The following is an 18,841-nucleotide window of genomic DNA, read 5'->3' on the forward strand; positions in this document are numbered from 1 at the left end:
ACTCTTCAGCATATTATCCAGGAGAACTTCCCCAACCTAGCAAGACAGGCCAACATTCAAATTCAGGAAATACAGAGAACACCACAAAGATACTCCTCGAGAAGAGCAATCCCAAGACACACAATATTCAGATTCACCAAGGTTGAAATGTAGGAAAAAATGTTAAGGGCAGCCAGGGAGAAAGGTTGGGTTACCCATGAAGAGAAGCCCATGAGACTAACAGTGGATCACTCGGCAGAAACTCTATAAGCCAGAAGAGAGTGGGGGTCAATATTCAACATTCTGAAAGAAAAGAATTTTCAAGCCCGAATTTCATATCCAGCCAAGTAAGCTTCATAAGTGAAGGAGAAATAAAATCCTTAACAGACAAGCAAATGCTGAGAGATTTTGTCACCACCAGGCCTGCCTTACAAGAGCTCCTGAAGGAAGCACTAAATATGTAAAGGAAAAACCAGAACCAGCCACTGCAAAAACATACCTAATTGTAAAGACCATCAACACTGTGAAGAAACTGCATCAACTAATGGGCAAAATAACCAGCTAGCATCATAATGACAGGATCACATTCAAACATAACAATATTGACCTTAAATGTAAATGGGCTAAATGCCCCAATTAAAAGACACAGACTGGCAAATAGGATAAAGGGTCAAGACCCATCTGTGTGCTGTATTCAGGAGACCCATCTCATGTGCAAAGACGCACATAGGCTCAAAATAAAGGGATGGAGGAATATTTACCAAGCAAATGGAAAGGAAAAAAAAAGCAGGTGTTGCAATCCTAGTCACTGAAAAATAGATTTTAAACCAACCAAGATCAAAAGAGACAAAGAAGGGCATTACATAATGGTAAAGGGATCAATGCAACAAGGAAAGATAACTATCCTCAACATATATGCACCCAATACAGGAGCACCCAGATTCATAAAGCAAGTTTTTAGAGACCTACAAAGAGACTTAGACTCCCACACAATAATAGTGGGAGGCGTTAACACCCCACTGTCAATATTAGGCAGATCAATGAGACAGAAAATTAAGAAGGATATTCAGGAATTGAACTCAGCTCTGGACCACGGAGACCTAACAGAAATCTACAGAACTCTCCACCCCAAATCAACAGAATATAAATTCTTCTCAGCACCACATTGTACTTATTCTAAAATTGATCACATAATTGGAAGTAAAGCACTCCTCAGCAAATGCAAAAGAATGGAAATCATAACAAACAGTCTCTCAGACCACAGTGCAATCATATTATAACTCAGGATTAAGAAATTCACTCAAAACCACACAAATACATGAAAACTGAACAAGCTGCTCCTGAATGACTACTGGATAAATAACAAAATTAAGGCAGAAATAAATAAGTTCTTTGAAACCAATAAAAAAGGCACAATGTACCAGAATCTCTGGGACACAGCTAAAGCAGTGTTTAGAGAGAAATTTACAGCACTAAATGCCCATAGGAGAAAGCAGGAAAGAGCTGAAACTGACACCCTAACGTCGCAATTAAAAGAACTAGAGAAGCAAGAGCAAACAAATTCAAAAGCTAGCAGAAGACAAGAATTAACTAAGATCAGAGCAGAACTCAAGGAGCTAGAGACACAAAAACCCTTCAACAAATCAATGAATCCAGGAGTTGTTTTAGAAAAGATTATCAAAATAGATAGACTGCTAGCCAGACTAATAAAGAAGAAAAGAGAGAAGAATCAGACAGACATAGTAACAAATGATAAAGGGGATATCACCACTGATCCCACAGAAATACAAACTACCATCAGAGAATACTATAAACACCTCTATGCAAATAAACTAGAAAATCTAGAAGAAATGGATAAATTCCTGGACACATACACCCTCCCAAGACTAAACCAGAAAGAAGTCGAATCCCTAAATAGACCAATAACAAGTTCTGAAATTGAGGCAGTAGTTAATAGCCTACCAACCAAAAAAAGCCCAAGACCAGATGGATTCACAGCCGAATTCTACCAGAGGTACAAAGAGGAGCTGGTATCATTCTTTCTGAAACTATTCCAAACAATGGAAAAAGAGGGACTCCTCTCTAACTCATTTTATGAGGCCAGCATCATCCTGATACCAAAACCTGGCAGAGACACAACAAAAAAGGAAAATTTCTGGCCAATATCCCTGATGAACATTGATGAGAAAATCCTCAATAAAATATTGGCAAACCAAATCCATCAGCACATCAAAAAGCTAATCCACCATGATCAAGTCTGCTTCATTCCTGGGATGCAAGGCTGGTTCAACACACACAAATCAATAAATGTAATCCACCACATAAACAGAATCAACGACAAAAACCACATGAATATCTCAATAGATGCAGAAAAGGCCTTCGACAAAATTCAATAGCCCTTCGTGCTAACAACTCCTAATAAACTAGGTATTGATGGAACGTATCTCAAAATAATAAGAGGTATTTATAACAACCCACAGCCAATATCATACTGAATTGGCGAAAGCTGGAAGCATTCCCTTTGAAAACCAGCACAAGGCAAGCATGCCCTCTCTCACCACTCCTATTGAACATAGTATTGGAAGTTCTGGCCACAGCAATCAGGCAAGCGGAAGAAGTAAAGAGTATTCAAACAGGAAGAGAGGAAGTCAAATTTTCTCTGTTTGCAGATGATAGGATAGCATATTTAGAAAATCCCAGCATCTCATCCCCAAATCTCCTTCAGCTGATAAGCAACATCAGCAAAGTCTCAGGATACAAAATCAATGTGCAAAAATCACAAGCATTTCTATACACTAATAATAGACAAACAGAGAGCCAAATCATAAGTGAACTTCCATTCAAAATTGCTACAGAGAGAATAAAATACCTAGGAATACAACTTACAAGAAATGTGAAGGACCTCTTCAAGGAGAACTACAAACCACTGCTCATGGAAATAAGACAGGACACAAACAAATGGAAAAAACATTCCATGCTCATGGATAGGAAGAATCAATATTGTGAAAATGGCCATACTCCCCAAAGTAATTTATAGATTCAATGCTATTCCCATCAAGCTACCATTGACTTTCTTCACAGAATTATAAAAAACTACTTTAAATTTCATATGGAACTAAAAAAGAGCCCGCATAGCCAAGACAATCCTCAGCAAAAAGAACAAAACTGAAGGCATCATGCTACGTGACTTCAAACTATACTACAAGGCTACAGTAACCAAAACAGCATGGTACTGGTACGAAAACAGATATATAGACCAACGGAACAGAACAAGTCCTCAGAAATAACACCACACATCTACAATCATGTGATCTTTGACAAACCTGTTGAAAAACAAGCAGTGGGGAAAGGATTCCCTATTTAATAAATGGTGTTAGAAAATTGGCTGGCCATATGCAGAAAACTGAAACTGGATTCCTTCCTTATACCTTATTACAAAAATTAACTCAAGATGGATTAAAGACTTAAACATAAAACCTAAAACCATAAAAACCCTAAAAGAAAACCTAGGTAATACTATTCAGGACATAGGCATGGGCAAAGACTTCATGACTAAAACACCAAAAGCAATGGCAACAAAAGCCAAAATAGACAAATGGGATCTAGTTAAACTAAAGAGCTTCTGCACAGCAAAAGAAATGATCATCAGAGTGCACAGGTAACCTACAGAATGCGAGAACATTTTTGCAATCTATCCATCTGACAAAGGGCTAATATCCAGAATCTACAAAGAAGTTAAACAAATCTACAAGAAAAAAAAATCTGATCAAAAAGTGGGTGAAGGATATGAACAGACACCTCTCAAAAGAACACATTTATATGGCCAACAAACATGAAAAAAAGCTCATTATCACTGGTCATTAGAGAAATGTAAATCAAAACCACAATGAGATACCATCTTGTGCCAGTGAGAATGGTGATCATTAAAAAGTCAGGAAATGACAGATGCTGGAGAGGATGTGAAGAAATAGGAATGCTTTTAGCCTGTTGGTAGGAGTGTAAATTAGTTCAACCATTGTGGAAGACAGTGTGGCGATTCCTCAAGGATCTAGAACAAGAAACACCATTTGACTCAGCAATCCCATTACTGTATATACCCAAAGGATTACAAATCATTCTACTATAAAGACACATGTACACATATGTTTATTGTGACACTGTTCACAATAGCAAAGACTTGGAACCAACCCAAATGCCCATCAATGATAGGCTGGATAAAGAAAATGTGGCACATATATACTATGGAATACTATGCAGCCATAAAAAAGGATGAGTTCATGTCCTTTGCAGAGACATGGGTGAAGCTGGACACCATCATTCTCAGCAAACTAACACAAGAACAGAAAACCAAACAGTGCATGTTCTCACTCATAAGTGGGAGTTGAACAATGAGAACACATGGACACAGGGAGGGGAACATCACACACCAGGGCCTGTCGGAGGGTAGGGAGCTAGGGGAGGGAGGGGTAGCATTAGGAGAATTACATAATGTTGATGATAGTTTGATGGGTGCAGCAAACCACCATGGCACATATATACCTAAACCTGCACTTCCTGCACATGTATCCCAGAACTTAAAATATAATAATAATAATAATAAAGGGGTATTGAAATTCCCCAGTATTTTTGTTTTGCTATGTTTTCCTCATGTCCACTAATATTTGCTTTATATGTTTACACACCTTGATGTTGGTTGCATATTTATAATTGTTACAGTCTGATTAACTTATTTGCTTATTATTACTTAAAGACAATCTTAGTCTCTTGTAACAGTTTTTGACTTCTGGCCTACTTTATCTGACATAAATATAGTCACCCCTGCTTTCTTTTTTTACCGTTTGCATGAAAAAATTCTTTCTTTTCACTTTATTTTTGTCCTTAAGCTTGATCTAGTCTGCCATTGAAGCTCTCTATTGTATTTTTTCATTTCCTTCATTGAATAATCTAATGGCAAGACATCTGTTTAATTTTTCTTGATGTCTATTTCTTTGCTGAATTTCTAATTTATACCATGATTTTTTTTTCCTGATTTCTTTCAATAGTCTATCTATATTATCTTGAATCTTGCTGACTTTTTATTTTTTATTTATTTTTTATTTTTTTAATTATACTTTAAGTTTTATGGTACATGTGCACAACGTGCAGGTTTGTTACATATGTATACATGTGCCATGTTGGTGTGCTGCACCCAGTAACTCGTCATTTAACATTAGGTATATCTCCTAATGCTATCCCTCCCCCCTCCCCCCACCCCACAACAGGCCCCGGTGTGTGATGTTCCCCTTCCTGTGTCCACATGTTCTCATTGTTTGATTCCCACCTATGAGTGAGAACATGCAGTGTTTGGTTTTTTGTCCTTGCGATAGTTTACTGAGAATGATGATTTCTAATTTCATCCATGTCCCTACAAAGGACATGAACTCATCATTTTTTATGGCTTCATAGTATTCCATGGTGTATATGTGCCACATTTTCTTAATCCAGTCTATCATTGTTGGACATTTGGGTTGGTTCCAAGTCTTTGCTATTGTGAATAGTGTCGCAATAAACATACGTGTGCATGTGTCTTTATAGCAGCATGTTTTATAATCCTTTGGGTATGTGCCCAGGAATGGGATGGCTGGGTCAAATGGTATTTCTAGTTCAAATCTTGCTGACTTTTAAAAATGTTATATTATTATTATTATTATTATTATTATTATTATTATTTTGAGATGGAGTCTCACTCTGTCAACCAGGCTGGAGTGCAGTGGCACGATCTCGGCTCACTGCAACCTCCACCTCTCAGATTCAAGTGATTTTCCTGCCTCAGCCTTTTTGGGGAGAGTCATGTTTCTTTGCTTTTTCATGTTTCTTGTGTCCCTGTGTTGATATATGTGCATCTGGTAGAACATTTGCCTCTCCTAACTTATAAAGTAGCTTTTCTAAGAAAAAACTTTCACTTGTTGATAGGTCCTCGGGTGCTGAGTAGGGTGTATCGGCTCTGCTTCTGGCTGGCACAGTAGCGTAGTCTCTGTGAAGCTTCTCAGCTATAATCAATGTCAGTGACAAGTGGATGCCTCAGTGGCCCGTACTGCAGTAATTTGTGGGAGTGGTGGTAGCAAAGTAGATTACACTGAGCTCAGGCACCAAGAGAGCACAACTACTCCACCAGCTCAGGTACAGCTTCCCTCGGGTGGGATGCAGGGCTGGTTTGTGTGCTGAGGGAATAAGACCAGTGTTCTGGCTTGGGCATAGCTTTTCTGGAGGTGGGGCACCAGGCCGCTTTATGTGCCAAGGGAGCACAGCTGCTCCACCATCTCAGACATTGCTTTCCTGGGGCTGAGTCTGGGGCCCCCAGTTAGTGTGCACACAAGGGGGTATTGTTGCCATTCTATTGCGCATGCTTCTCTGGGGTCAAGGTGCTTGGCTCATGCTTGAGAGGGTACAACTGCTTCACCAGGCCAGGCTTGGCTTCCTTGCTGGGTTGGACTGTTTGGTCCTTGGGGGCCAGAGCAGCCTGTAGGTTCAGAAGCCTGGGTCATGACCGTTCCACTGGGCCTAGGCCTAGGCTTCGAATGGCCATGGGTGGGGCATAGCTGCCACTGGAATGGAGAGGATACTGTGCCTTCTCAGCAGCTTCATAAAAAGGTATTTTGGTCTATATATCCTTGGTAAATCTGTATTTCTGAGACAGCATGAGATCAATAATTTTCTATTCTACTCTCTTGCTTACAACATTCAACAACTCATTTCCTTTTTTTTTTTATCACAGAGTAATATTCCATTGTATAGATGTACCATAGTTTGTGTATACATTCTATGTATCATTATTGAATGATATCTGGTTGCAAACATTTTTGGCAATTATGAATAAAGCTGCTATAAACATTCATGTGCAATTTTTCATGTGGACATATGTTTTCAAGTCATTTAGGTGAATAAAAAGCAGTGCAGTTGCTGGATTAGGTGATAAAAGTATGTTTAATTTTGCAGGAAATTGCTGAACTGTCTTCTAGAACAACCGTACCGTCTTGCATTCCTGTCAGCAATCAGTGAGAATTCCTGTTGCTCCGCATCCTCACCAGCATTTGGTGTTGTCAGTGTTCTAGATTTTAGACTAAATGCAGTGTTTTCATTTTGTCCTATTCTAGATGCTAACTTTTATTGTGATTTAGTCTCGTGAGTTGTTTTAAATTGTTACATAAGAATTTCTTAGTGTATAGAGTTTCCTATGTTTTTGAATTACTTTTTAATTTTAATTGCATTATGATTAGAGTATGTTTATTTTGATGGTTATCTGTGGAAATTTTCATTCTGATCTAGTTAAGTGGTGACTTTGTGAGTTTCCGTGTGCTTAAAAAGACTGCAAATCTCTCATTGTGGCTGCCCTGGAACTTAGTTTATATAATAAATAAGTTTCCTCATGTCTGAACCTGCCCAGGCACCTTTCCCAATGTATCAGATGTTTAACACTAAGGATCTGTTTTGTTCTGGAAAGTTATTTTTATCTGGCCTCATGATTACAGTCCTGGCCCTGAACTTCAGAGAATGGAGGGGTAAGCAAAAGGACCTCAGACTGTGCCAGGAAATGTCAAGTCACCTGCTGTAGGCTACTACTAATGGAGCATGGCCTATTTACTTGGACACCAAACTATCCAGTGCTAACATGAGGTTTTTCAGGACTAGATCCCATGGCCATACAGCCCTGCCTGCCAGATTGGACGTGAAAAGTATTTCCGCATCTGACATTCCTGTTTCACCCACACAGGGCATCGTTTTGCCCAGGACAAAGTTCACCTCCAATCTTATCCACACTATTTCTATCTTTGCTTCCTTGATAAGATATAGACATTTATGCAGTGGTTCAAAGTCTAGAGTCCCTACACTTCTGGTACATGACAGCTGTGTCTCGATGGAGTAGACTCTCAGAACAGCGCAGTTTGCCCTCCGCTCACGCAGAGCCTCTCCGTGGCTTCCGCACCTTGAGCATTAGGCCAGTTCTCCTCTTCTCTCTAATCCATCCGTCACCTCTCCTGTCATCCGTTTCCATGCCGTGAGGTCCATTCACAGAACACATCCATGGCTCTCATGCTCAGTTTGGTTCTGAGTCTCCTCAAGCTGGGATCAGGTAAGACTCATCTTTGTTTCCTCCTTACTAACTAACAGTTTGAGTTCTTTAGCTACAATGGTTGCAGCATAATGGAATGAAGGCATCTTTGTCGTTTCCATTCCTTTGGCTTCTCCTAGCCTCAGCCTGGGGAAGGATCAGGCGCTGTGGAAACAATTATAGTAGCCCCCAAATAATGGAAACACGGGTGTTGAAGACGCACCGTGATCGTTGACGGGGACACACCTAACGTGTTAAGGTGAATAAATTCAGTGTTTCTCCCAGATGGGCTGAGTGGTGTAGGCAGGGTTATTGGAGCACCAAGGTTGCTGACATGGATGTCCATCTGGGAAGAGACACAGTTAGGATTTTTGGGGAAAAGACAATGTATCCAGCTAAAGACATGCTGAGTTAGAAATGTCTGTGGTATGAGACACGAGGGTGGAGGAAGGTGTACAGGTCTTGAGGTGAGAAATTAGCTGAAACCTGGCATATTCTGGGAAGAAATCCACTCTTCTTTCTCCTTCCAGTTACTGTTAACACAGAACCTAGTATATAGGATGTTGAGTGACTGAATACAATTCACAGAGGAAGCTTGAGGTTGGGGTAGAATGCTGGTGGCTAGATGGTCAGTACCCAGCCACAGAAGATTCGATTGACTGTGTTCACTTTCTGTCTGTGAAGGTTCATCCTGCCACCTGTCCACCTATATCTTTTTTGCTAAATGAAGCTAAGAAAACAGAAATAAGGGCAATCAAAACATAGAGCATGTTTCCTTAAAACAAAAACCCATATGTGTTACTAACAGGAGACGCTCTCGTTTCAGTTTGTTTTCATTTATTTTCTGACGAGCTTCTTTGTTTCCCTTCTGTTTCCGGGTGAGGCAGCAGGACATCCTGGAAATGATCTTGGAGACAGAAACATTTTATTTTTAAAAACTCTTATTTCATTTTCTTGTGAGCTTTATTGTTCACAGCTTCCTTAGGTGTTGGTTTGCTTATGATGACATGGAGATACGATCACATTCCTGCTGGGGCTGTGGTGAGGACTGCATGAGCTTGTGCATGTAGAGTGCACACAGCTGCACGGGTGCATGGCATGTTGCAGCAACAGTCTTGTTCCTTTCTTATTTTCAAGGGAAGGAAGTGGAAGGAGTGAAAGGAGATGTTATAGGCAAGAGAGGTGACAGCAGCAAGGGCTGGCCGGAGAAATGGAGGTACCCTGAAAAATGTTTCCTTGCCTCAAGAGCCCCACACAGCCCTGAAGGCAGCATCCATAGCAGCCCAGCTGGCATACGCTGGGTCCCCAAACCTGACCTAAGACAAGGGCCTTCCTGCCAGTGATTCGTTGAGCAGGTGATTCTGGGAAACAAAGTGAGGGAGTGGAGAGAGTGAAGCCAGTAGGGGGAAAGCCATAGAGGGTGCGCTAATGAGCGTTGCTGCGGTGGCAACTGGGACCCAGTCCCACTGGGACCTTTGGAGGAACTTTATAGATGGTGGCTCAGAGTCATTCCAACATCTACTGTCTCCTTTCCCCACTGGGTGAGATGTGCCGCCCAGGACTGCTAAAATCGCAAACCTTCTGAGCTGCCTTGTGCCAGGGCTAAGTAGGTTCCAAGGGTGGCAGGAAGCCCTCAGCAGAGAGGCAGAGGCCAGGCTCCAGGGACGGAGCTGTCAGCAGGCAGGGAAATGCCCATCCCACTGCAGGGGGACTCAGGGTTGGGTGGTGAGGAGCAGGGCCTCAACATCTGCTACACCAGGTCAGAAGCTGGTCAGACACCAGGCTGCAAAGTCATGCCTCATTTAATAATACTCTTAAAGATGCATGAGTGAAATACATTTCAGCAAGATTTATAAAATGTAATTAAACTAAAAAATTAGTGCTAAAATGAAAAAGTATCCACTGATCTAGAAATTCACACATGTAATTCACCTTCCCTCTGATGCACATGCAGACAGCACACACAGGTATATCCATATACCATAAATGGATACATGTGAATGAATCAAGAGACACTGCCAGTCAAAGGGGGTGGGTACTTAGAAGGTGAAGGGAGTGGGCCTCCATAGTCTGTGGTCTCTAAGAAGCAGTGTAATCCTTACAGGGTAGTAAGAGTGATTTACACCAGGAAAATTACTCAAATGATTGTTAAACAGATGAGCAAGTAAGAAAGGAAATGGGGCTCACCGTTCACATGCATAACTGTGGAGCCTGTTCTGTGTGACTGGCTCTGTGCTGATCAAGTGGGTACTATGCTGAGCAAGAAAATCAGGCCCTGTCCCCAGAGAGCCAAGAGCTGTGCAGGGGAGGCTCACAGAAAACATGTAATTGTCACACTTGAAGCAAGACAATGAAGAAAGTTTCAAAAGCGAGGTGAGGACATACATGTACCAAGAATTTTTTTTAAAAAAAATGAAGGCAAGACATGTTGACAAAGCACTAGGCGAACCACCTTTCAGTGCTAAAATAAAGTGGAAAAAATTACTACACAAGCGTAAAAGGCACATGCTATGGAAAATATAAGTCACACGTGAACGTGCTAAAGAACAAATTTACAGAAAACAGACTGCAAAATCTTGTTTCAGTGTCACAGCATGTCTTTCAGAACTTGGCAGAACAAGCAGATTTTCAAAAAAAACTAAGGAAGTACAAATAATTGTGTGCGCCATGGGCAGAAATGTAACATTCCTCTATAGTAGCCATAAAATATTGATATAATATTGTGCTTGAAGGAAACCTTAACGAATTGCCGCAAACTGGAGACTTTATGGCCCATACTCTTCTCTGGGCCATTAGAAAGACGTCAACTTTGGTTTTCAGCAAGGACGATGGAAATGGGGATGTTTGGGTTTTTTTTTTAATTGAAGCAAATGGGCAGATGGGAGAGAATGTGGCAATAGAACCTCCTGGAATCAAAGGGTCTACATTCAGAAAGAGACTTTTTCCTCTGGATAACATGGTTTTCTCATCTTAAAAATAAAAACATTAATAATACACATTTCTGCAGGTGCTCCTCAAGATCGAATGAAGTAACTGATGTGGACATGGTTTGTCAAATGTAAGGAGATACACAAATGCAAGTCACTGGCTTTAGAAATAGGATTGTGATGAATGTTTCCCCCTGATGCACATCTCCAGCCCAGCCCAATGGAGCCCTGAGTAGGTCACACTATAAAGGGTTTTTTTTTTTGTTTTTGCTTTTATACTTTAAGTTTTAGGGTACATGTGCACATTGTGCAGGTTAGTTACATATGTATACATGTGCCATGCTGGTGCGCTGCACCCACTAACTCGTCATCTAGCATTAGGTATATCTCCCGATGCTATCCCTCCCCCCTCCCCCTACCCCACAACGTCCCCAGAGTGTGATATTCCCCTTCCTGTGTCCATGTGATCTCATTGTTCAATTCCCACCTATGAGTGAGAATATGCGGTGTTTGGTTTTTTGTTCTTGCGATAGTTTACTGAGAATGATGATTTCTAATTTCATCCATGTCCCTACAAAGGACATGAACTCATCATTTTTTATGGCTGCATAGTATTCCATGGTGTATATGTGTCACATTTTCTTAATCTAGTCTATCATTGTTGGACATTTGGGTTGGTTCCAAGTCTTTGCTATTGTGAATAGTGCCGCAATAAACATACGTGTGCATGTGTCTTTATAGCAGCATGATTTATAGTCCTTTGGGTATATACCCAGTAATGGGATGGCTGGGTCAAATGGTATTTCCAGTTCTAGTTCCCTGAGGAATCGCCACACTGACTTCCACAATGGTTGAACTAGTTTACAGTCCCACCAACAGTGTAAAAGTGTTCCTATTTCTCCAATCCTCTCCAGCACCTGTTGTTTCCTGACTTTTTGATGATTGCCATTCTAACTGGTGTGAGATGGTATCTCATTGTGGTTTTGATTTGCATTTCTCTGATGGCCAGTGATGATGAACATTTTTTCATGTGTTTTTTGGCTGCATAAATGTCTTCTTTTGAGAAGTGTCTGTTCATGTCCTTTGCCCACTTTTTGATGGGGTTGTTTGTTTTTTTCTTGTAAATTTGTTTGAGTTCATTGTAGATTCTGGATATTAGCCCTTTGTCAGATGAGTAGGTTGCGAAAATTTTCTCCCATTTTGTAGGTTGCCTGTTCACTCTGATGGTAGTTTCTTTTGCTGTGCAGAAGCTCTTTAGTTTAATTAGATCCCATTTGTCAATTTTGTCTTCTGTTGCCATTGCTTTTGGTGTTTTAGACATGAAGTCCTTGCCCATGCCTATGTCCTGAATGGTAATGCCTAGGTTTTCTTCTAGGGTTTTTATGGTTTTAGGTCTAACGTTTAAGTCTTTAATCCATCTTGAATTGATTTTTGTATAAGGTGTAAGGAAGGGATCCAGTTTCAGCTTTCTACATATGGCTAGCCAGTTTTCCCAGCACCATTTATTAAATAGGGAATCCTTTCCCCATTGCTTGTTTTTGTCAGGTTTGTCAAAGATCAGATAGTTGTAGATATGCAGCGTTATTTCTGAGGGCTCTGTTCTGTTCCATTGATCTATATCTCTGTTTTGGTACCAGTACCATGCTGTTTTGGTTACTGTAGCCTTGTAGTATAGTTTGAAGTCAGGTAGTGTGATGCCTCCAGCTTTGTTCTTTTGGCTTAGGATTGACTTGGTGATGCAGGCTCTTTTTTGGTTCCATATGAACTTTAAAGTAGTTTTTTCCAATTCTGTGAAGAAAGTCATTGGTAGCTTGATGGGGATGGCATTGAATCTGTAAATTACCTTGGGCGGTATGGCCATTTTCACGATATTGATTCTTCCTACCCATGAGCATGGAATGTTCTTCCATTTGTTTGTATCCTCTTTTATTTCCTTGAGCAGTGGTTTGTAGTTCTCCTTGAAGAGGTCCTTCACATCCCTTGTAAGTTGTATTCCTAGGTATTTTATTCTCTTTGAAGCAATTGTGAATGGGAGTTCACTCATGATTTGGCTCTCTGTTTGTCTGTTGTTGGTGTATAAGAACGCTTGTGATTTTTGTACATTGATTTTGTATCCTGAGACTTTGCTGAAGTTGCTTATCAGCTTAAGGAGATTTTGGGCTGAGACAGTGGGGTTTTCTAGATATACAATCATGTCGTCTGCAAACAGGGACAATTTGACTTCCTCTTTTCCTAATTGAATACCCTTTATTTCCTTCTCCTGCCTAATTGCCCTGGCCAGAACTTCCAGCACTATGTTGAATAGGAGTGGTGAGAGAGGGCATCCCTGTCTTGTGCCAGTTTTCAAAGGGAATGCTTCCAGTTTTTGCCCATTCAGTATGATATTGGCTGTGGGTTTGTCATAGATAGCTCTTATTATTTTGAAATACGTCCCATCAATACCTAATTTATTGAGAGTTTTTAGCATGAAGGGTTGTTGAATTTTGTCAAAGGCTTTTTCTGCATCTATTGAGATAATCATGTGGTTTTTGTCTTTGGCTCCGTTTATATGCTGGATTACATTTATTGATTTGCGTATATTGAACCAGCCTTGCATCCCAGGGATGAAGCCCACTTGACCATGGTGGATAAGCTTTTTGATGTGCTGCTGGATTCAGTTTGCCAGTATTTTATTGAGGATTTTTGCATCAATGTTCATCAAGGATATTGGTCTAAAATTCTCTTTTTTTGTTGTGTCTCTGCCTGGCTTTGGTATCAGAATGATGCTAGCCTCATAAAATGAGTTAGGGAGGATTCCCTCTTTTTCTATTGAATGGAATGGTTTCAGAAGGAATGGTACCAGTTCCTCCTTGTACCTCTGGTAGAATTCGGCTGTGAATCCATCTGGTCCTGGACTCTTTTTGGTTGGTAAGCTATTGATTATTGCCACAATTTCAGCTCCTGTTATTGGTCGATTCAGAGATTCAACTTCTTCCTGGTTTAGTCTTGGGAGAGTGTATGTGTCGAGGAATTTATCCATTTCTTCTAGATTTTCTAGTTTATTTGCATAGAGGTGTTTGTAGTATTCCCTGATGGTAGTTTGTATTTCTGTGGGATCGGTGGTGATATCCCCTTTATCATTTTTTATTGCATCTATTTGATTCTTCTCTCTTTTTTTCTTTATTAGTCTTGCTAGCGGTCTATCAATTTTGTTGATCCTTTCAAAAAACCAGCTCCTGGATTCATTAATTTTTTGAAGGGTTTTTTGTGTCTCTATTTCCTTCAGTTCTGCTCTGATTTTAGTTATTTCTTGCCTTCTGCTAGCTTTTGAATGTGTTTGCTCTTGCTTTTCTAGTTCTTTTAATTGTGATGTTAGGGTGTCAATTTTGGATCTTTCCTGCTTTCTCTTGTGGGCATTTAGTGCTATAAATTTCCCTCTACACACTGCTTTGAATGTGTCCCAGAGATTCTGGTATGTTGTGTCTTTGTTCTCGTTGGTTTCAAAGAACATCTTTATTTCTGCCTTCATTTCGTTATGTACCCAGTAGTCATTCAGGAGCAGGTTGTTCAGTTTCCATGTAGTTGAGCGGCTTTGAGATTCTTAATCCTGAGTTCTAGTTTGATTGCACTGTGGTCTGAGAGATAGTTTGTTATAATTTCTGTTCTTTTACATTTGCTGAGGAGAGCTTTACTTCCAGTATGTGGTCAATTTTGTAACAGGTGTGGTGTGGTGCTGAAAAAAATGTATATTCTGTTGATTTGCGGTGGAGAGTTCTGTAGATGTCTATTAGGTCCGCTTGGTGCAGAGCTGAGTTCAATTCCTGGGTATCCTTTTTGACTTTCTGTCTCGTTGATCTATCTAATGTTGACAGTGGGGTGTTAAAGTCTCCCATTATTAATGTGTGGGAGTCTAAGTCTCTTTGTAGGTCACTCAGGACTTGCTTTACGAATCTTGGTGCTCCTGTATTGGGTGCATATATATTTAGGAGAGTTAGCTCTTCTTGTTGAATTGATCCCTTTACCATTATGTAATGGCCTTCTTTGTCTCTTTTGATCTTTGTTGGTTTAAAGTCTGTTTTATCAGAGACTAGGATTGCAACCCCTGCCTTTTTTTGTTTTCCATTGGCTTGGTAGATCTTCCTCCATCCTTTTATTTTGAGCCTATGTGTGCCTCTGCACGTGAGATGGGTTTCCTGAATACAGCACACTGATGGGTCTTGACTCTTTATCCAATTTGCCAGTCTGTGTCTTTTAATTGGAGCATTTAGTCCATTTACATTTAACGTTAATATTGTTATGTGTGAATTTGATCCTGTCATTATGATGTTAGCTGGTTATTTTGCTCGTTAGTTGATGCAGTTTCTTCCTACTCTCGATGGTCTTTACATTTTGGCATGATTTTGCAGTGGCTGGTACCGGTTGTTCCTTTCCATGTTTAGTGCTTCCTTCAGGAGCTCTTGTAAGGCAGGCCTGGTGGTGACAAAATCTCTCAGCATTTGCTTGTCTGTAAAGTATTTTATTTCTCCTTCACTTATGAAGCTTAGTTTGGCTGGATATGAAGTTCTGGGTTGAAAATTCTTTTCTTTAAGAATGTTGAATATTGGCCCCCACTCTCTTCTGGCTTGTAGGGTTTCTGCCGAGAGATCCGCTGTTAGTCTGATGGGCTTCCCTTTGAGGGTAACCCGACCTTTCTCTCTGGCTGCCCTTAACATTTTTTCCTTCATTTCAACTTTGGTGAATCTGACAATTATGTGTCTTGGAGTTGCTCTTCTCGAGGAGTATCTTTGTGGCGTTCTCTGTATTTCCTGAATCTGAACGTTGTCCTGCCTTGCTAGATTGGGGAAGTTCTCCTGGATAATATACTGCAGAGTGTTTTCCAACTTGGTTCCATTCTCCCCATCACTTTCAGGTACACCAATCAGACGTAGATTTGGTCTTTTCACATAGTCCCATATTTCTTGGAGGCTTTGCTCATTTCTTTTTATTCTTTTTTTTCTAGACTTCCCTTCTTGCTTCATTTCATTCATTTCATCTTCCATCGCTGATACCCTTTCTTCCAGTTGATCGCATCGGCTCCTGAGGCTTCTGCATTCTTCACGTAGTTCTTGAGCCTTGGTTTTCAGCTCCATCAGCTCCTTTAAGCACTTCTCTGTATTGGTTATTCTAGTTATACATTCTTCTAATTTTTTTTCAAAGTTTTCAACTTCTTTGCCTTTGGTTTGAATGTCCTCCCGTAGCTCAGAGTAATTTGATCATCTGAAGCCTTCTTCTCTCAGCTCGTCAAAGTCATTCTCCATCCAGCTTTGTTCCGTTGCTGGTGAGGAACTGCGTTCCTTTGGAGGAGGAGAGGCGCTCTGCTTTTTAGAGTTTCCAGTTTTTCTGTTCTGTTTTTTCCCCATCTTTGTGGTTTTGTCTACTTTTGGTCTTTGATGATGGTGATGTACAGATGGGTTTTTGGTGTGGATGTCCTTTCTGTTTGTTTTCCTTCTAACAGAGAGGACCCTCAGCTGCAGGTCTGTTGGAGTACCCTGCCGTGTGAGGTGTCAGTGTGCCCCTGCTGGGGGGTGCCTCCCAGTTAGGCTGCTCGGGGGTCAGGGGTCAGGGACTCACTTGAGGAGGCAGTCTGCCAGTTCTCAGATCTCCAGCTGCGTGCTGGGAGAACCACTGCTCTCTTCAAAGCTGTCAGACAGGGACATTTAAGTCTGCAGAGGTTACTGCTGTCTTTTTGTGTGTCTGTGCCCTGCCCCCAGAGGTGGAGCCTACAGAGGCAGGCAGGCCTCCTTGAGCTGTGGTGGGCTCCACCCAGTTGGAGCTGCTTTGTTTACCTAATCAAGCCTGGGCAATGGCGGGCGCCCCTCCCCCAGCCTCGCTGCTGCCTTGCAGTTTGATCTCAGACTGCTGTGCTAGCAATCAGCGAGACTCTGTGGTCATAGGACCCTCTGAGCCAGGTGTGGGATATAATCTCGTGGTGCGCCGTTTCTTAAGCCCATCGGAAAAGCGCAATATTCGGGTGGGAGTGACCCGATTTTCCAGGTGCGTCCGTCACCCCTTTCTTTGACTCGGAAAGGGAACTCCCTGACCCCTTGCGCTTCCCGAGTGAGGCAATGCCTCGCCCTGCTTCGGCTCGTGCACGGTGCGCGCACCCACTGACCTGCGCCCACTGTCTGGCACTCCCTAGTGAGATGAACCCGGTACCTCAGATGGAAATGCAGAAATCACCCATGTTCTGCGTCGCTCACTCTGGGAGCTGTAGACCGGAGCTGTTCCTATTCGGCCATCTTGGCTCCTCCCCCTCACTACAAAGGGTTTTGATGATTTATCTTTTGTATGTCTTCCCACAGGGCAGTGGCAGGTGTTTGGGCCAGACAAGCCTGTCCAGGCCTTGGTGGGGGAGGACGCAGCATTCTCCTGTTTCCTGTCTCCTAAGACCAATGCAGAGGCCATGGAAGTGCGGTTCTTCAGGGGCCAGTTCTCTAGCGTGGTCCACCTCTACAGGGACGGGAAGGACCAGCCATTTATGCAGATGCCACAGTATCAAGGCAGGACAAAACTGGTGAAGGATTCTATTGCGGAGGGGCGCATCTCTCTGAGGCTGGAAAACATTACTGTGTTGGATGCTGGCCTCTATGGGTGCAGGATTAGTTCCCAGTCTTACTACCAGAAGGCCATCTGGGAGCTACAGGTGTCAGGTCAGTTTCATATTTCATAACTTAGTTGTCCCAAAGAACCATCCTGGACTTTATAAGTGTTTTTTTCAATAAGGAAATTTTAAAATTTTAGGTCATTTAGTTAGAAGGCAGCATTCTATACTCTACGTTCCTTCTGTCTTGTGTGTATAGTTCTATGTGTTTTGTCACATGTTTAAATTCAGGTAACCACCATCACATCAAGGTATAGAACTACCCCATCATCACGAAGATCTCCCTCTGTCACCCCTTCATGGTCACACCCACCCCTTCTCAGCCCCTGCCTGGGGTTTTCCATCTCCCTGATGCTGTAATTTCAAGAATGTTACATACACAGCTTCACACCGCAGGTGACCTTTTGAGATTGACTTTTTAAATTCAGCATAATGCTCTTGCGATCTATCCAAATTATTGCTTGTATCGATACTTTATTTCTTTTTTTTCCCCACTGTCAAAATAGTTTTCCTTATGAACATTTATTTTTAAATTAACAAATAAAGATTCCTGCTCACTTGTCCTACAAATTTTTTGTTTATCTGATACAGCAGGGAGCAAACGTCAGCTCCAGGAAGCTGTGACTTCCCCTGACAATCAGTTGCTCAATGCTCTGTGTTAACTTGACCATACTTCCATAGTCACACCCTTCACAGTGAAATGTATTTGACGGGGCTGGGTGCAGTGGCTCAAGCCCGTAATCCCAACACCTTGAGAGGCTGAGACAGGAGGATTGCTTGAGTCCAGGAGCTCGAGACCAGCCTGGGCATATGGTAAGACCTCATCTCTATTAAAAAAAAAAAAAAAAGAAGATGAAAGAAGGAAAAAACAGAAATTTATTGTTTACAGTTGTTGCCGTGTGCAGTCAGTGAGTTGTGAATAATCTGTGTCCTGATTAAAAACCTGTGAGTGGGGCTGCTCTGACGGTAGTGGATTATCCGAACTTAGTAGTGTCACTACAATTGGCATACGACTCCCCACTGCTAAATTTGACTAACTTAAATTTTTTTAAAAACCACTATGAGTGATATTTCAGGCCTGATGATAGGCAATTTTCAAAAGCGTTTCCTGGAAGGCCTCCTCCTCATAGCAGACTTGGAGTACAACCAATGCTTTGCAGTCTCTGAGGAGAGTTTCAGGTGAGCCCTCAGGCCCGGCTAAGCTGTCCTGGTCTTTACATATTTGCA

At 41.5% G+C, this 18,841-nt stretch overlaps 1 protein-coding gene across 10 annotated transcripts in view, besides 2 other annotated features; it reads left to right on the plus strand.

The window, feature by feature from the left end:
• The first annotated feature begins 7,888 nt into the window (after positions 1-7,888).
• Positions 7,889-18,841, plus strand: part of BTNL8 (butyrophilin like 8) — a 51,748-nt gene continuing 40,795 nt past the window's right edge. For 4 of the 10 annotated variants that reach the window (NM_024850.3, NM_001159708.2, NM_001040462.3 and 1 more), the window contains exons 1-2: positions 7,889-8,089; positions 17,316-17,663. In NM_024850.3, coding sequence (NP_079126.1) covers positions 8,041-8,089; positions 17,316-17,663 — 397 coding nt within the window. In that variant the 5' untranslated portion in view covers positions 7,889-8,040. Of the gene's footprint in view, positions 8,090-11,075; positions 11,127-11,151; positions 11,228-17,315; positions 17,664-18,302; positions 18,428-18,841 lie in introns of those variants that run through there. The other 6 variants (NM_001159707.2, XM_011534653.3, XM_047417764.1 and 3 more) reach the window with 5 other exon arrangements.
• Positions 16,440-16,996: an enhancer, noted in NCBI's record as "NANOG-H3K27ac-H3K4me1 hESC enhancer chr5:180334710-180335266 (GRCh37/hg19 assembly coordinates)". NCBI's record gives its function as "activates a minimal SCP1, AML or CMV promoter by ChIP-STARR-seq in naive H9 embryonic stem cells {active_cell/tissue: H9 hESC(naive)}" and the evidence as "EXISTENCE:reporter gene assay evidence [ECO:0000049][PMID:30033119]".
• Positions 16,997-17,551: an enhancer, noted in NCBI's record as "NANOG-H3K27ac-H3K4me1 hESC enhancer chr5:180335267-180335821 (GRCh37/hg19 assembly coordinates)". NCBI's record gives its function as "activates a minimal SCP1, AML or CMV promoter by ChIP-STARR-seq in primed H9 embryonic stem cells {active_cell/tissue: H9 hESC(primed)}" and the evidence as "EXISTENCE:reporter gene assay evidence [ECO:0000049][PMID:30033119]".

Source organism: Homo sapiens, chromosome 5 (genome assembly GCF_000001405.40).
Source record: "Homo sapiens chromosome 5, GRCh38.p14 Primary Assembly".
In the NCBI taxonomy this organism is placed as follows: Eukaryota; Metazoa; Chordata; class Mammalia; order Primates; family Hominidae; genus Homo; species Homo sapiens.